This window comes from Homo sapiens, chromosome 10 (assembly GCF_000001405.40).
Source record: "Homo sapiens chromosome 10, GRCh38.p14 Primary Assembly".
In the NCBI taxonomy this organism is placed as follows: domain Eukaryota; kingdom Metazoa; phylum Chordata; class Mammalia; order Primates; family Hominidae; genus Homo; species Homo sapiens.
Genome location: NC_000010.11, coordinates 100,022,351 through 100,041,562, shown reverse-complemented (window position 1 = coordinate 100,041,562; position 19,212 = coordinate 100,022,351).

Genomic DNA, 19,212 nt, shown 5'->3' with positions numbered 1-19,212 from the left:
TCTTTGTACATGGACATTTAATAAATATGCATCTTTCAAAACATTTGCTGGATATGGAAATATGTGCAGCTGCCCCTAAGGCATGGCTGCATCCTGGCTCTGTCCCCAGCACGACATAGCACTCTCCACCTCTTTGAGTTCCCCAGGAAGAACCCATTTGCACTAAAAACATTATTGAGCAAAGTAGATGTTACTAAAGATTTTGAAGGGATGTGTAGTCTTTCATCACCTACCTTGCAGCACTCAAGTTTACAAACCCTCATTGGGCATGTGGGGGTTCCTGAGTCCCCTGTGGGAAGTGGTTTTTTGCCATACACCTTGTTTCAGAGCTCAGCCTCAGTTAGACAGGGCAGGCTCCAGTTTCCTCATCTACCCCTCTCCCCACAGCACCTCTAATTAACCAGCCCTTTTCTTACCACTGAGAAATTGAACTCTACTAAATAATTACAGCCTTGTGCCACATAATGACGTTTTGGTTAACAGTGGACCGTGTGTATAATGGTGGTCTCATAAGATTATAATACCATGGTTTTACTATACTTTTCTATATTTAGATATGTTTAGATTTAGGTTAGATATGTTTAGATTTAGAATACGTAACACAGGCTGAGCACGGTAGCTCATGCCTGTAATCCCAGCACTTTGGGAGGCCGAGTTGGGTGGATCACCTGAGGTCAGGAGTTCGAGACCAGCCTGGCCAACATGGTGAACCCCATCTCTACTAAAAATACAAAAAATTAGCTGGGTGTGGTGGCAGGCACCTGTAATCCTAGCTACTTGGGAGGCTGAGGCAGGAGAATTGCTTGAACCCAGGAGGTGGAGGTTGCGGTGAGCCGAGATTGCACCACTGCACTCCAGCCTGGGTGACAGAGTGAGACTCCATCTGAAAAAAAAAAAAAAAAGAATATGTAACACAATTACCACTGTGTTACAATTGCCTGCAGCATTCAGTATAGTAACATGCTGTCCAGATTTGTAGCCTAGGAGCAATAGGCTGTACCTTTCAGCCTATGTGTGTAGGAGGCTATACCACCTAGGTTTGTACAAGTACATGCTATAATGTTTCTGCAATGATTAAATCACCTAGGGATACATTTCTCAGAATGTACCCACATTGTTAAGTGACATGGTATGGTGATCCCTTGGCACCCAGTTGGTTCCAGCACCCTCTCAGATACCAAAATCCAAGAGTGCTCCAGTTCCTTTTATAAAATGGCATAGTATTTGCATTTAGCCTAGGTATATCCTCCCATATACTTTTAAGTCATCTCTAGATTACTTATAATACCTGATACAATGTAAATGCTGTGTAAATAGTTTTGTTATATTGTATTTTTACTTGGTACTATTTTTATTGTTGCATTATTTTATTTTTTGTTTTTCTGACAGCCTCACTCTGTCACCCAGGCTGGAATGCAGTGGTGCAGTCATGGCTTACTGCAGCCTCAATCTCCCGAGCTCAAGAAATCCTCTCACTTCAGCCTCCCAAGTAGCTGGCCAACATGGTGAACACAGGCACGTGACATCATACCTGGCTAATTTTTAAATTTCTTTGTAGTGATAGGATCTCAAACTCCTGGGCTCAAGTGATCCTCCCGCCTCTGCCTTCTAAAGTGCTGAGATTATAGGCATGAGCCATGGTGCCCAGTCTGTATTATTATTTTTTATTTATTTATTTACTTAAATAGTTTTGATCCAAGGTTGGTTGAATGGGAACCTGCAGATACGGAGGGCTGACTGTATTCCCATACCCATCAGAAAACATAGGTGCTCTAGCTGTGACAACTCGCCCTCCCCTGGAGGCCATTCGGGATTAGGATTAACACATAATTCATTTTTCTGTTACCTGAGCAATCTCTCTATCTGTGGTCAAAAAGAAAACAGAAGAAAATGTATCTTTTCCCACTTAGGGAATTCACTCCTCAGGTTAAAAGGCTAATTGTTTCTTTCTATTTTTTATTTCTTCCTAATTTTAATCCCATGTTCCTTGGTGCCTTTCTTGCTGTTATAAAGAGGCCACTATTTGAGAGGGTTTCCATTTTTCAATTCAGTGAAACTTTATACCTGAGGTTGCTGCATGCACTGTTTCCCAGATTGTCTGAATATCACTTACTTTGTGTTTAGGTTCCTTGGTACGAAGTCACCTGACAGAGCTAATGTTTATGAAATACGGTCACAGTACTTTCACTGGCATAGCCACAGAATTTTATTCATTCTTCCGTTTATTCATGCAGGGAACATATTTTGAGTCCTTGCTCTCAATAAATTCAGAAAATATAAAGAGGAAGAAGATACAGTCCATTATCTCAGTGCAGCCACAGGCTACTTGGGAAGGGAAACAGATCACTCCAGTATCTTGTAATAATTGCTGGGATTCTGTTGACTCTGGGGTGAGGACAGAAGCCAGTGGCAAGGGCCTTACTCTAGTCTTGGGAAGGTCAGGAAAGGGTTCCCAGAGCTAGTGGAGTCTAAGGTGAGATATAATGAGGTCAGATAAAGAGGCATTGGCCAGGTGGAAAGAAATGGGGGAACAATAGTTAGGCTGAGGAGACAGCACAGCTTGAGGCTCTTGGAAGATTTGCAGCTTGTTCAAGAGAGCTGCATGAAATTCAGCATGGTGGCAGCTGAGTGAGATGCCAGAAGCCAAGGCCAGTGGGGTAGGGAGGGACCAAATCATGAAGGACCTTTGAGCCATAGCACAGAGTTTGGACTTTATCCTGAGAAAAACAAGTAGCCATTGAAGGGTTCTGCTGAGGGGAGTGCAGAATCAGTTTAGAATGAGTGCCTGACTGCTGCCTGAAGAGCTGGCTGAGGCAGAGGGGAGACCACTAAAAGCCAGGAGAAAAGGTGGCCTTAGCCCGGGCAGGCAGCAGGGGTGGGGAACACCAGGAAACTCCAGAGCACTTCCTGCTAGCTCCCTAGGGCTTCTCTGCTGCTTTTGGACTTCCAGTCTGACTCAGATCCACCCTGCCCACCACCTGAGGATTTTAAGTACTAAAGGAGATGCAGATTTTTAAACCAAGCCCTAAAAACCATTCTTAGTAAAATGCACTCAAGCCAGAGGTGATTATACAGACCAAGTATTATATGGAAAATACAGGGTCTGGCTATAACCACATGAAAATTTCTCTGTGCATACAAAGGGCACGAAACCAGGACTCACAGGACGAGAGTGGGCAGGGTTGACAGGATATGAAGGAAGGGCTTCCAACTTTGGCCTCAGCCCTCTCCTGGCTGGTACCCTTTCTATTTTATAGCTAGAAAGTTACTTTGAAGAGGAAACCCTCTGCTTGGAATGCCAGCCTGGATAGGTGGTGTTTCCTAAAGGGGAAGAAGCCCCTAATGAAGGGCACAGGTTTTGGACTCCGACAGACGTGGGTTTTAACTCTAGCTCTGTTCCTTATTGGCTGTGTGACCTTGAGCAAATAACTTACCTTCTCTGAGTCATAGTTATTCATCTGAAGAAAAAAAAAAAAGAAAGAATATCTGGCCGGGCATGGTGACTCACACCTGCAGTCCCAACACTTTGGGAGGCTGAGGCAGGAGGATCGCAGGAGTTTGAGACCAGCCTGGGGAACATGGCAAAACCCTCTCTACAAAAAATGCAAAAATGAGCTGGGTGTGGTGGCATGGACCTGTAGTCCCAGTTACTCAGGAGGCTGAGGCAGGAGGATCGCTTGAGCTGGGGAGGTGGAAGCTGCAGTGAGCTATGATTGCATCACTGTACTCCAGCCTGGGCAACAATGTGAGACCCTATCAAAAAAAGAAAAGAAAGAAAAAGAAAAGAGGAAAAGAAAAGAAAGAACAGAAAAGAAAAGAAAAATGAAAAGAAAAGAAGAAAAAGAAAATCTACCTCACTGTAATGGCCCATTGAGTATACCTTGCCTGCTGTGTAGACAGAGGTGATTTATCAAGACGGGAATTGCATGGAGAAAGAGTAATTCATGCAGAGCTGGCTGTGCAGGAGACCTGAGTTTTATTATTACTCAGATCAGTCTCCCTGAGCATTTGGGGATCAGAGTTTTTGTTGTTTGTTTGTTTGGTTTATTCTTTTTGAGATGGAGTCTTGCTCTGTCCCCCAGGCTGGAGTGCCAGTGGTGCAATCTCAGCTCACTGCAACCTCCGCCTCCCAGGTTCAAGCGATTCTCCTGCCTCAGCCTCCCTAGTAGCTGGGATTACAGGCACACGCCACCACACCCAGCTAATTTTTGTATTTTTAGTAGATACGGGGTTTCACCATGTTGGCCAGGCTGGTCTCGAACTCCTGACCTCAAGTGATCTGCCCACCTAGGCCTCCCAGAGTGCTGGGATTACAGGTGTGAGCCACCGTGCCCGGCTTGGGGATCAGAGTTTTTAAAGATAATTTGGTGGGCAGGGTCTTGGGAAGTGGGGAGTGCTGATTGGTCAGGTTGGAGATGGAATCCTAGGGGGTTGAAATGAGGTTTTCTTAATGTCTTCTGTTCCTGGGTGCGACGGCAGAACTGGTTGGGCCAGATTACCAGTCTGGGTGATGTATGCTGATCCGTCGAGTACAGGGTCTGCAAAATATCTCAAACACTGATCTTAGGTTTTACAATAGTGATTTTATCCTCAGGAGCAATTTGGGGAGGTTCAGGCTCTTGGAGCCAGAGGCTGCATGTCCCGTAAACTGTAATTTCTAATCTTGTAGCCAGTTTGTTAGTCCTGCAAAGGCAGACTGGTCCCCATGCAAGAAGGGGGTCTTTTTAGGAAAGGTCTATTACCAATTTTGTTACAGAGTCAAACCATGAACTGAATTCCTTCCCAAAGTTAGTTCGGCCTACATCCAGGAATGACCAAGGACAGCTTAAAGGTTAGAAGCAAGATAGAGTCGGTTAGGTCTGATTTCTTTCACTGTCATAATTTCTTCAGTTATAATTTTGCAAATGTGGTTTTATCACTCTGAGTTTGTGAGGATTAAAGGTGCCGCCCTTATAAATCAGTCAGGAGGCGGAAGGCCAACCCTCACCCCACACTCTCCTCGGAGGATTATCACTTATCTGCCAGCGACATCAAGGACTTAGGGGTGCAAAAAGGAGCTTGGAGGTGAGGCATTCTCCTGAGAGGCTGAACCAAGCCCACCCTGTCTTTTTTTTCTCTCTCTTTTTTAAAAAAACTTCAAGCCACTCAGGAGGCTGAGGCAGGAGAATCTCCTGAACCCGGGAGACAGTGGTTGCAGTGAACCGAGATCACACCACTGCACTCCAGCCTGGGCGACAGAGTGAGACTCCATCTCAAAAAAAAAAAAAAACAACAAAAAAAAACAAATTCATACACTGGAATCCAACCTTTATTAGTTCCTTATTCTTCTTGGCACTTTTCCTTCTAAGTTGAGGATTTCATGACACAGTAATTCCCCCCCTCACTTGAGGAGATAGGAAAATTGCCAGTTTTCAGGCAGCATGACACCTGATGACTTCTGGACCTGGTACTGGTTCCCACGGAGGTTTCTGCTGGTGGGTTTCCACTCCAGTAAGTTGTGACTGCCCTGTCTTTGTATCTTTATATCCCAACACTCAGAATATAAAGAAACGTATTATACATATGAACTGAGTGCACAATCTCCAATATTACTTTCACATTTTTTCTCCTTCTCACCTCTTTCACTATTTTTCTTCTTTTATCTAGTAGTAATAGTTTTGTGCATCTATTTTTTAAATTAGAAACCCTGGTAGGGAGAATTCTCACATCTTTGAATGACCCATGCACTTGTATAATTCTCCTTCCATGCATGTGGGTGGACTCTGTAAATACAAGATAGCATGTGTAAACCAAGAGTATGTCAGACAAGTCTCAATCAATTTAGAAAGTTTATCTTGTCACAGTTAAGGACATGCCCATGACACAGCCTCAGCAGGTCCTGACGACATTTGCCCGAGATGGTCAGTACACAGCTTGGTTTTACACATTTCAGGGAGACATGAGACATGAATCAGTATAAGTAAGATATACATTGGTTTGGTCCAGAAAGGTAGGACAACTCGAAGTGGGGAGGGGGCTTCCAGGTAATAGGTAGATAAAAGACAAATGGTTGCATTCTTTTGAGTTTCTGATTAGCCTTTCGCTGAATACACAAGGCACGAGTGAATACTCACTTATGCCTTAGTCTGGCTTAGTGAAACAATAGGGCAAAGGAAGCAATCAGATATGGATTTGTCTCAGGTGAGCAGAGAGATGACTTTTTGAGTTCTGTCTGTCCTTTGTCTACAAGGAATTTCCTTGTGGGCAAATTGTGAGGGGGGTATGTAGCTTTTATTATTATTATTATTATTATTATTATTATTATTATTATTATTATTATTATTATTTTAAATCTTTGTGGCCATCTTACTTAGGAATAGAATGGGAGGCAGGTTTGTCTGATGCAGTTCCCAGCTTGACTTTACCCTTTGGTGATTCTCCTTTCACATTTCTCCCCTTTTTAATATCTTTTGGAGAAAGCTTTTTAGGAGGAAATGAGCCTCTGGTCTCAGGTTATGTCTCATCTCTCATGGCTAGGACGGTTTATTCTTAGATTAGTAAGTCCCACATTATTAGAAAAGCTCATTTTTAGCAGATTGTGGAGTCTTATGTCCAACAAAGAGAAAATAGGGGAGGAAGGGAGAAAACAACAACAAACAAAAAATGAAGAACAATCCTGGAAAATCGATACAGGCCACGTTACTCTGAAGTTCTTACATCAGTAGACATGTATGAAAGTGGCTTACATATGTATTTTCTTCCAAAGTTTAAGTTGTCTAGCTTCAGTTCACAGGGCTTTAAGAAAGCAAAGCTTAATTTCTAGTGATTTCTTTTCCTTTTTTTTTTTTTTTTTTAAGACAGAGACTTGTTCTTTTACCATGGCTGGACTGCAGTGGCATGATCTTGGCTCACTACAATCTCTGCCTCCCAGGTTCAAGTGATTCTCCTGCCTCAGCCTCCTGAATAGCTGGGATTACAGACATGCACCACCACGCCCAGCTGATTTTTGTGTCTTTAGTAGAGACAGGGTTTCACCATGTTGGCCAGGCTGGTCTTGAACTCCTGACTTCAAGTGATCCACCCCCCTCGGCCTCCCTCTGGTAATTTCAAATCAGGAAAAATGGGGGGAAAAAGGAAAGGAAGTAAGGAAAAAAATGGAAAACATTATTTTGGAGACATGTAGTCAGGAAAAATTTTGGAATTCAGTTAAAACTGTGGAAAATACTAAAAATTGAAAAACACTAGGCAACACTAGAATCTAAAAACAGGTGTACTATAGTTTATTTTAAAACATAATTTTTCTCTCTCCAGTCCTGTTTTCATAAAGACAAATCACAGGACAAACTCATTTGCAAAATAAGTTTCAGTCTTATTATACTTGGCCAGAGTATTTGCATAAAGTCAGAAAGAATAATTATTTGCCATATAGGCTCCTCTTCAAAACAAAAAACAGGCTTTGCTGGAACTTTATTCCATAAAGAACCTCAGATTCTACTTTAATGCCTTAAGCCCAGCCTGTGCCTGCAAATACCAGTAATAATTGGGTGAATTCCTCACTTCAAGGTCCCAAGAAAACTTGGGGCTCCTGGGCCTGTCAGAAAGTGACATTCCATACATACCATAGGCGAGGAACCTGTGCAGGGACTATGTAGATAAGGCATGAGGCCAGCTGTCCCAAGGGGCTTTTATTGGTTCATTGGCTCTATAAGTCAACTTTGATTCCTTAAAGGAGTCTGCATCTGAAGGCATACCATTCCAGTCCAAACCTTGGTAAAATTTAACCAGTGTCTCCAATTGTGTCTTGTTACAAAAGAAAACAGATTCTTATTGCACTTATGCAAATAACTATATTGCCATAAGTTAAGAATACTCACAACTAGTTTCCAAATTTTGGAGAAATCAGGAAGAGAGAAACATGCGTAGTGAGCCCACTGTCTCTACAAAAAAACATGAAAAAGCCAGGTGTGGTGATGCATGTCTGTAGTCCCAGCTACTTGGGAAGCTGAGGTGGGAGGATCACTTGAGCCCAGGAGGTCAAGGCTGCAGTGAGCTACCATCATGCCACTGCACCCCAGCCTGGGTGACAGAGCAAGAACCAGTCTCAAAAAGAAAAAATTTCTAAAATGGTAAGGTCTCAATACAAGGAAATCAAGTTTATTTCTGTTAAAGATCCCAGAAATGAATTCACAGTGTGATATTGTGACCTATTAAAAGAAAAACCTTAGACAGGTCAAGTGTAGTGGCTCGCACCTGTAATTCCAGTGCTTTGGGAGGCTGAGTCAGGAGAACTGCTTGAGTTCAGGAGTTCAAGACCAACCTGGGCAACATAGACCTCGTCTCAATTAAAAAAAGTTTTCTTAATTAAGAAAAACCTCGGCTGGGTGCGGTGGCTCACGCCTGTAATCCCAACACTTTGGGAGGCTGAGGCGGGTGTATCATGAGGTCAGGAGTTCGAGACCAGCCTGACCAACATGGTGAAACCCCATCTCTACTAAAAATACAAAAATTAGCCAGGTGTGGTGCCTCATGCCTGTAATCCCAGCTACTAGGGAGGCTGAGGCATGAGAATTGCTTGAACCCAGGAGGCAGAGGCTGCAGTGAGCCGAGATCGCACCACTGCACTCCAGCCTGGGCCATAGAACGAGACTGTGTCTCAAAGAAAAAAAAAAAAAGAAAAAGAAAAACCTACATTTTCTGTTATTTCAAAAAAAAAAAAAAAACCTTAGATTAAATTTAACAATTTTTAATTGAGCAAAGAATGATTTGTGAACCAGGTAGCACCCAAACCAGAATAAGTTCAGGGAGACTCTGTCGCTGCTGTGTGGTCTAAATTTTATGGACAGAAAAAGGAAAGTGATGTACATAAAGCAGAAGTGGACGTACAGAAGCAGCTGGATTGTATATAGTTTGATATTTGCCTTATTTGAACACAGTTTAAACAGTTGCCCACCTTTGATTGGTCAAAACTCAATGATTGGTATAACAGTAAGGTTACAGCCCATTTACACATTTTGGTTACAGTTCACTATGTACAAAAAAACCTTTAGGCTGAACTTAAAATATGTAAGAAGGCAGCTTTAAGCTTTCATATTGAATTCTGAAGGGAAACAAAAACAAAAGTGTTCTCTTAACCCCTAAGAGAAGTCCAATGTTCTGTTTCTGACTGATTATGGACCAACAAGGGTATTAAAATTTCTTGCCCATGTTGCCTCCTTATCTTCCATGTATCAAGAGATAAGTTTGTCCATGTACAAATAAAAGTATACCCTGTGAGTGCACACAAGATACCTCTTTTTCAGTTCTATTGTTCATAGAGGCATAAGCAAGGAAAAAACTGAGAGATAACAGTCTCATGATACCAGAGGAGTCTTGATCTGTGATCCTGGGAAATAGCTGTCTACATCTAAGATGCTGTCTGCTTATAGGGAGAAACTTCCCTGGGTAGATTTCTTTCTTTCTTTTCTTTTCTTTCTTTCTTTCTTTTTTTTTTTTGAAACAGAGTCTTATTTGCTCTGTCGCTCAGGCTGGTGTGCAGTGACACAATCCCAGCTCACTGCAGCCTCGAACTCCTGGGCTGCAGCAATCTTCCCATCTGAGCCTCCCGAGTAGCTGGGACTACAGGTGCGTACCATTGTGCCTGGCTAATTTTTGTATTTTTTGTAGAGATAGGGTTTCACCATGTTGACCAGAGTGGTCTTGAACTCCTGAGATCAAGGTATTAGCCTGCCTCAGCCTCCCAAAGTTCTGGGATTACAGGAGCGTGCCACTATGCCTGGCTACTTTTTTAAAGTTTTTTTTTTTGAAACGGAGTCTCGCTCTGTCGCCCAGGCTGGAGTGCCGTGGCGCAATCTCAGCCCACTGCAAGCTCCACCTCCCGGGTTCACGCCATACTCCTGCCTCAGCCTCCTGAGTAGCTGGGACTATAGGCGCCCGCCACCACGCCCAGCCAATTTTTTGTATTTTTAGTAGAGACGGGGTTTCACGGTGTTAGCCAGGATGGTCTCGATTTCCTGACCTCGTGATCCACCTGCCTCGGCCTCCCAAAGTGCTGGGATTATAGGCGTGAGCCACCGCGTCCGGCCTTTTAAAGTTTTTGTAGAGACAGAGTCCCACTATGTTGCTCAGGCTGGTCTTGAACTCCTGGGCTCAAGCAGTCCTCCCACCTCAGCCTCCCAAAGTGCTGGGATTATAGGCATGAGCCAGCATGCCCAGCCAGATTTACATTAAGGTCCCCAAAGGGGGATAGTTCTAAGAATCTGGAGGGACCCTTCTGAGTTGTGAGATTAGGAACCTAAAGTTTAAGGTTTAGAAGTTTTGCTGCAATGTGGGTGACAAGGGCAGTCTTTCTCTAATGTTCTCAGAAGAACCCATCTTTTAGTCCTAGGTTGTGAAGAGTTTGATCAGTGAGTAGACCATGAAAAGCTTTCTTAACCTGATGAAAACACACTTTTGGCATAATGCATTAAAGTTTTTTTTTGTTTGTTTGTGGTTTTTTTGTTTGTTTTCCAGATGAAGTCTTGCTCTGTCACCCAGGCTGGAGTGCAGTGGCACGATATCAGCTCACCACAACCTCCACCTCCCAGGTTCAAGCGATTCTCCTGCCTCAGCCTCCTGAGTAGCTGGGATTACAGGTGCTTGCCACCATGCCTGGCTAATTTGTGTATTTTTAGTAGAGATGGGGTTTCACCATGCTGGCCAGGCTGGTCTCAAACTCCTGACCTCAGGTGATCCGCCCGCCCTGGCCTCCCAAAGTGCTGGGATTACAGGCGTGAGCCACTGCGCCCGGCCATAATGCATTAAAGTGTTAAAGCATTTAGCCATTTTAGAGTTTAGGAGCAGAAGATACATGGGGTTCTATGATTAAGAGCATAGGCTTTTCAGTGACTATTTCATGAGGATTCAATTTATGTTTTCCACTAGAGATGGATCTGATTGTCATCAGTCTGCAATAACTTTGACCAAGGCAATCTTTTTTTTTTTTTTTTTTTTTTTTTTTGAGACGGAGTTTTGCTCTTGTTGCCCAGGCTGGAGTGCAATGGCACGATCTCGGCTCACTGCAACCTCCACCTCCTGGGTTCAAGCAATTCTCCTGCCTCAGCCTCCCAAGTAGCTGAGACTACAGGCACCTGCCACCAATCCCAGCTAAGTTTTTGTATTTTTAGTAGAGACAGGGTTTCACCAGGTTGGCCAGGCTGGTCTCAATCTCCTGACCTCGTGATCTGCCTGCCTCGGCCTCCTAAAGTGCTGGGATTACAGGCATGAACGACCACACCCGGCCTTACCAAGGAAATCTTAATCTTATATGTGTATCTATTTTTTGAGACAGCTTCTCACTCTGTCACTCAGGCTGGAGTGCAGTGGTGCTATCTCAGCTCACTGCAGCCTCAACCTCCTGGGCTCAGGTAATCCTCCCATCTCAGCCTCCCAAGTAGCTGGGACTAGAGACATGCACCATCACACATGCCCAGCTAATATATTTTTGTATGTTTTTTATAGAGTCAGAGTCTCTATGTTGCCCAGGCTTGTCTTCAACTCCTAGGCTCAAGCAATTTGCCCATCTCCCAAAGTGCTGGCTTTCTAAAGTGCTGGGATTATAGATGTGAGCCACTGTGCCCAGCCAATTTTTTTTTTTTTTTTTTTTTGAGACAGAATCTCACTTTTTGTCACCCAGGCTGGAGTGCAGTAGTGTTATCTCGGCTTACTGCAAGCTCTGCCTCCCGGGTTCAATGATTCTCCTGCCTCAGACTCCTGAGTAGCTGGGATTACAGGTGTGCACCACCATGCCTGGCTAATTTTTTTTTTCTTTTTTTTTTTGAGATGGAGTCTTGCTCTGTCACCTAGGCTGGAGTGCAATGGCATGATCTCGGCTCACTGCAACCTCCACCTCCTGGGTTCAAGCGATTCTCCTGCCTCAGCCTCCTGAGTAGCTGGGACTACAGGTGCATACTACCATGCCCGGCTAATTGTTTTGTATTTTTAGTAGAGACACGGTTTCACCATGTGGCCAGGCTGGTCTTGAACTCCTGACCTCTGGTGATCTTCCTGCCTTGACTCCCAAAGTGCTGGGATTACAGGCATGTGCCACTGCACCTGACCTTTTTTTTGATACAGAGCCTTGCTCTGTCATTCAAGCTGGAGCACAATGACATGATCTCAGCTCACTGCAACCTCTGCCTCCCAGGTTCAAGCAATTCTCCCTCAGCTACCTGAATAGCTGGGATTACAGCCACATGCCACCAGGCCCAGCTAATTTTTTGTATTTTTAGTAGAGACAGAGTTTCTCCATGTTGCCCAGGCTGTTCTTGAACTCCTGAGCTCAAGCATGAGCCATCATGCCCTGCCTGGCCAAGTATTTTAAATACTGAAAAGAATTTTGGGCTGGGTGGAATGGTTCACGCCTATAATCCCAGCACTTTGGGAGGCCAAGGTGGGTGGATCACTTGAGTTCAGGAGTTGGAGACCAGCCTGGGCAACATGGCGAAACCTCGTCTCTACCAAAAATCCAAAAGTTAGCTGGGTGTGGTGGTGGATGTCATCCCAGCAACTTGGGAGGGTGAGGCATGAGAATCACTTTACCTGGGAGGCGGAAGTTGCAGTGAGCCGAGATCACACCATTGCACTCCAGCCTGGGCTATAGAGTGAGACTCTCTCTCAAAAAAAAAAAAAAAAAAAGAGAATTTTGAAACTGTGTCACAGGTACCCTCCCCAATGTCTTTGCTAGTCGTCTTGGGTCTCATGTAGTCATGTGGCACCCAGAGGGACTATAAAGGGCAGGGCCTGAGTCCTGAATTTATATACCAGGTGTAGAGCTCAGGACAGAAGACAGAGTGTGAAGATGATACCTGGAGGATCAAAGCCCTCCTAGAATAGGTAGGAGGCAAAGCTGGGGCAGGGAAAAGGGACCATAATTGAGTTTGACTCTGCCTTGCAGCTGGTGGTCTAGGCACTGGGAACATGTCCCCAGGCCCGCCTTTGTAATCACCCCACAGGTTCTTCTTGCCTGCTGCACAGACAAAATCAATTTATTGAGACCACCACATTGCAGTAGACAAAAAGTTTAACTGATGCAAGGCTGGCCCATTTGACTGGAGTTATCAGTCAAATCACTCTCCCTGAAGGTTTGAAGGTTAGGGGATTTTATGGACAATTTGTTGGGCAGGGGGCTAGGGAATGGGTGCTGCTGATTGGCTGGAGATGAAATCATAGGTGTGTGGAGAATCGTCCTCTTGCTCTGAGTCTGCTTCTGGGAGGGGCCACAGGATCAGCTGAGTCATAAGTCATGAGTCTAGTTGGGGTCAGTCTGAAAGATATCTAAAGAAAACCAACCTTAGGTTCTACAATAGTAATGTTTTCTATAGGAGCAATTGGGGAAGTTACAAATCTTGTGCCCTCTGGCCACATGACTCCTAAGCAGTAAGGGCTTATCGAAATTACACCTACAAACCTGGGAAACAATGTGAGACCCTGGTGATATGGTTTGGATATGTGTTCCCACTAAGTCTCAGTTTGAAATGTAATCCACAATTTTGGAGGCGGGGCCTGGTGGGAGATGTTTGGGTTAGGGAGGCAGATCCCTCATGCCTTGCTGGAATCCTTATGATAATGAGTGAGTTCTCGTGTGATCTGATTGTTTAAAAGTACACAGCACCTCCCTCCCCACTCTCTCTTGCTCCTGCTTTCATCAAGTGAAAACTCCCTGAGGCCTCCTCAGAAGCTGAGTAGAGGCCAGCACTATGCTTCCTGTACAGCCTGTGGAACCATGAGGCAATTAAACCTCTTTTCTTTATAAATTACCTAGTCTTTGGTTTTTCTTTATAGCAATGCAAGAACAGCCTAACACACTTGGCTCTACAAAAATTAAAAAATAAAAAAATTAGTAGGGCGTGGTGGTATGCATTTATAGTCCCAACTACTTGGGAGGCTAAGGTGGGAGGATCAGTTAAGCCTAGGAGTTCAAGATTAAAGTGAACTATGATTGCACCACTGCATTCCAGTCTGAGCAACAGGGTAAGACTCTGTCTCTAAAGCAAAACAAAACAAAAGAAACTATGCCTCTATCTTAGCAGAATTCAAGCCCCTCCCATGATGCTATTCTTGTGCCCTTTCATTAATCTTAAAAAGGTAGGTTTCAGTCTCTGAGCAAGGAGTGGGTAAGTTTTAGGGAGGGACTATTATCATCCTTTCTTTAAACTGTAAACTAAATTCCCCCCGAAGTTAGTTTGGCCTATGCCCAGAAATGACCAAGGACAGCTTGGAGGACAGAAGGAAGATAGAGTCAACTATGCCAGATTTATCTTACTGTCATTTTTTTTTTGACATGGAGTCTCGCTCTGTCATCCAGGCTGGAGTGCAGTGGCATGATCTTGGCCCAGCGCAACCTCTGCCTCCTGGGCTCAAGCAATTCTCCTGCCTCAGCCTCCTGAATAGCTGGGACCACAGGCATGCGCCACCATATCTGGCTAATTTTTTTTTTTTTGACATGGAGTCTCGCTCTGTCGCCCAGGCTGGAGTGCAATGGTGCAATCTTGGCTCACTGCAACCTCCGCCTCCTGGGTTCAAGCAATTCTCCTGCCTCAGCCTCCTGAGTAGCTGGGATTACAGGCGTGCACTACCACGCCTGGCTAATTTTTGTATTTTTAGTAGAGACGGGGTTTCACCATGTTGGTCAGGCTGGTCTTGAACTCCTGACCTTGTGATCCACCGTCGTCGGCCTCTCAAAGTGCTGGGATTACAGGCGTGAACCAACACGCCTGGCCTAATTTTTGTATTTTCATTAGAGACTGGGTTTCGCCATGTTGGCCAGGCTGGTCTCAAACTCCTGGCCTCAAGTGATCCACCCGCCTTGGCCTCCCAGAGTGTTGGGATTACATGAGCCACCACGCCTGGTCTCTTACTGTCATATTTTGCAAAGGCAGTTTCACCATGACCACTCATCCAGACCCCAGAATCCAGAGGCTCAAAACCAAAATCATAAGCTCACAGTCAAATCAAACAAGTATCAAAAAATATTAAGAAGCAGCAGTAGTATAACTTTAAAACATGTAGCAGAGAGAGCATACATCTGTCTGACCAGTAAATCCAGGCAAAAATATCGTGATTTACTTTCCAACCTGACTCTGCATAACATTATGAGACAAAGAAGGTCAAAATATTTTACCCTAAAATACATTTCTGTCTGACCAGTAAATCCAGGCAAAAATAACCTAAAGAGATTAACTAAATCTGAATAGGAAACATTTGTCATCTATTGCCTCTAAGGGCAGCCACTATAAGACTTCAAAATAACTTTGGTCTCCACAATCTTTATCTTAACCTGAACATTCCCTCTCTATCAATCCCAGGTCTTTAGACAAACTCAACCAATTGTCAACCAGAAAATGTTTAAATTCACCTATAGTCTGGAAGCCCTGCCCCGGTTTGAGTTGTTCCACCTTTCTGGACCAAACCAATGTATTTCTTAAATGTATTTTATTGATGTCTCATGCCTCTCTAAAATGTATAAAACCAAGCTGTGCCCCAACCACCGTGGGCAAATGTTCTCAGGACCTCCTCCTGGCTAAACTCCACTCTTAAGCCTGGAACCTCTGCCCTAAGCGAAAACAGCTGATCCTATTTTTTCCGCCCAAATGATTGCCTTTTTGGCCCACCCCACCCCCATCCTGTGTCCATAAAAACCAGACCAGTTGGCAGAAAAAAGAAAGAGCAACATGAGCAGCCGATGCAAGTGGTCCGGAACGCCAGCTGCTGAGCCTCAGGATACAAGCAGCTGAGCAGCAAGCAGAGAAGCAAGCAACTGAGCATCAGAGACTACAAATAGCTAACTTCAGATGGTGCGGCTTCAGGGAAAGATCACCTTCTTCCTGCACCATCCCCTTTCCAGCTCCACATGCTGCTGAGAGCCAGTCTTCAAACAGTCTGTGTGATCTGATTCTTCCTGCACACTGAAAAAGAACTTGGGTGTCAAAAAGGCAGGTGCAGGAGGCTGTCACCCTGACCCTTCACTGAGCTGTTAACACTTAGCCATCCAAGGACTGCAGGCTGAGTGAAACAAACCACTCCAGTTCCTGCCCACCCACGAAGGGGGTAAGGGTGAAGGGAACTATCCCATCTCATGCCAGATAGTAATGAAGCTAAAGGATGAGCAGATTTAATTCCTCTTGTTCTTCCTTTCCTTCTTTCTTCTTTCTTCTTCCTTCTTTGATCTTTCTTCTTTCTTCTTCTCAGAATCTTGCTCTGTTGCCTAGGCTGGAGTGCAGTGATGTGATCATGGCTTATTGCAGTCTTGACCTCCTGGGCTCAAGCAACCCTCCCACCTCAGCCTTCTGAGTAGCTGGGATTACAGGCACACATTACCATGCCTGGCTAAGTTTTAAATTTTTTGTAGAGACAATGTCTCACTTTGTTGCCCAGGCTGGTCTGGAGCTCCTGGGCTCAAGCGATCCTCCTGTGTTGACCTCCCAAAATTCTGGGATTACAAAGATTTAACTCTTCTTATCGTTTAGTCACATAAGCCTTCTATTTACTTTTTATAAACAGTCTTTTTTTTCCCCTTTGTTTTGTTATTTACTTTTTTTTTTTTTGGAGACAGAGTCTCGCTTGGTCACCCAGGCTGAAGCGTAGTGACGCCATCTCAGCTCACTGCAACCTCTGCTTCCATGTTCAAGCGATTCTCATGCCTCAGCCTGTTGAGTAGCTGGGACTACAGACGTGCGCCGCTACGCCCAGCTGATTTTTGTATTTTTAGTAGAGACGAAGTTTCACCATGTTGGCCAGGCTGGTCTTCAACTCCTGACCTCAAGTGATCTGCCCACTGTGGCCTCCCAAAGTGCTGGGATTACAGGCGTGAGCCACCATGCCCAGCCAATTATTTACTTTTAAACTATGTTGTTCATTGGCATTTTCACAACATATAAATATCTTTTTATTTATTTATTTATTTATTTTTATTTTTTTGAAGTGAAGTCTCGCTCTGTCGCCCAGGCTGGAGTGCCATGGCATGATCTCGGCTCACTGCAACCTCTGCCTCCTGGGCGCAAGCAATTTTCCTGCCTCAGCCTCCCAAGTAGCTGGAATTACAGGTATCTGCCACCATGCCTGACTGACTAATTTTTGTGTTTTTTAGTAGAGAGAGGGTTTTGCCATGTTGACCAGGCTGGTCTTGAACTCCTGACCTCAGGTGATCCGCCCACCTCGGCCTCCCAAAGTGCTGAGATTATAGGCATAAGCCACTGCGCCCAACCAGATCTTTTTTAAAATCAATAAAAATATTGAAATCTTTTCAGAAGCTTCTGTACATCAATAATTATCTCTGAATGAAACTAATTCTGGAGACCTCATTTTTTTGTTTGTTTGTTTTTTTTTTTTTGAGACAGAGTCTTGCTCTGTCGCCCAGGCTGGAGTGCAGTGGCGCAATCTCGGCTCACCGCAAGCTCCGCCTCCTGGGTTCTCGCCATTCTCCTGCCTCAATCTCCCGAGTAGCTGGGACTACAGGCGCCCACCACCATGCCCGGCTAATTTTTTGTATTTTTAATAGAGACGGGGTTTCACTGTGTTAGCCAGGATGGTCTCGATCTCCTGACCTCGTGATCCGCCTGCCTCGGCCTCCCAAAGTGCTAGAATTACAGGCGTGAGCCACTGCGCCTGGCCTGGGGCCCTCATTTTTTAAAACTTTTTTTTTGACACAGGGTCTTGTTCTGTCACCCAGGCTGAAGTGTAGTGGTGTGATCACAGCTCACTGCAGCCTCAATCTCCTAGGCTCAAGAGATCCTCCCACCTCAGGCTCCTGAGTAGCTATGACTACAGGTATGTGCATCACACCTAGCTAATTGTGTTGTGTTTTTTGTAGAGACAAGATCTCACTATATTGCCCAGGCTGGTCTCAAAGTCCTAGGCTCAAGCAGTCCTCCTGCCTCAGACTCCCAAAGCACTGGGATTACAGGCGACAGCCACCATGCCCAGCCTGGGGCCCTCATTTTTAAATACACTTTTAAAAGTGCAGTATTCATTTGAAATGTTGTAGTTTTGTATTATTTTTAGTAAGGTGTTGCCATTTCTGTGTTTGCTGCTTCCAGGGCCTAATTTTTTTTTTTTTTTTTTTTTTTTTTGAGACAGAGTCTGACTCTGTTGCCAGGGCTGGAGTGCAGTGGCGCGATCTCGGCTCACTGCAACCTCCGCCTCCCGGGTTCAAGTGATTCTCCTGCCTCAGCTTCCTGAGTAGCTGGGATTACAGGTGCCTACTACTACACTCAGGTAATTTTTTGCATTTTTAGGAGAGACAGGGTTTCACCATGTTGGCCAGGCTGGTCTCGAACTTCTGACCTCGTGATTTGTCTGCCTCGGCCTCCCAAAGTGCTGGGATTACAGGCATGAGCCACCATGCCTGGCTCCAGAGCCTAATATTTATGCATGTATAGGTAAGCATAGCTGGAAGGTGGAGTACTAAGTTCTTCAGTAGTAAAGGATTATTATTATTATTTTGAGACGGAGTCTCACTCTTGTTGCCCAGGCTGGAGTGCAATGGCAGGATCTCAGCTCACCACAGCCTCCGCCTCCCAGGTTCAAGTGATCTCCTGCCTTAACCTCCCTAGTAGCTGGGATTACAGGCATGCGGCAGCACACCTGGCTAATTTTGTATTTTTAGTAGAGACACGGTTTCTCCATGTTGGTCAGGCTGGTCTTGAACTCCCGACCTCAGGTGATCCGCCGCCTTGGCCTCCCAAAGTGCTGGGATTACAGGCGTGAGCCACCGTGCCTGGCCAGGGACCCCCATTTTTACTTTGGATCTTGTCCTTAACTCTCAGATCCCTTTGATTAACTTAGCTAATGCTTTTTTTTCTACCTAAGTGTGCAAGAAAAGGAAACAAAAGGAATACTACAACACAAAAATCTCTGTGAATTTCTAAAAGCTGAAGTTCACAGCCTCTGTGCTATTACCATTTACTGCCAGTTTCTCTGTGAACCACTCAGACATCTGAGGCGTCTAACTGGATCAAAGCCAGTTAACTATTGCATGTAATCTGATCCTAGACCTAGTCCAGTTTGTATCACAACTTCCAAACCCAATTCATATAAAAAATTCACTCAAACAGATAGCTCAAAACACAAACCCATAGAGCTTCAGAATCTGAGAGAGAAGATACCCACGATCCTCAGTTGTAAGAGAGAGCAATGGACAAAATGAGTCTGGTTGGTACCTCATTAGTCACTCAATGCCCCTGGTGGGGGTAGAAGCTC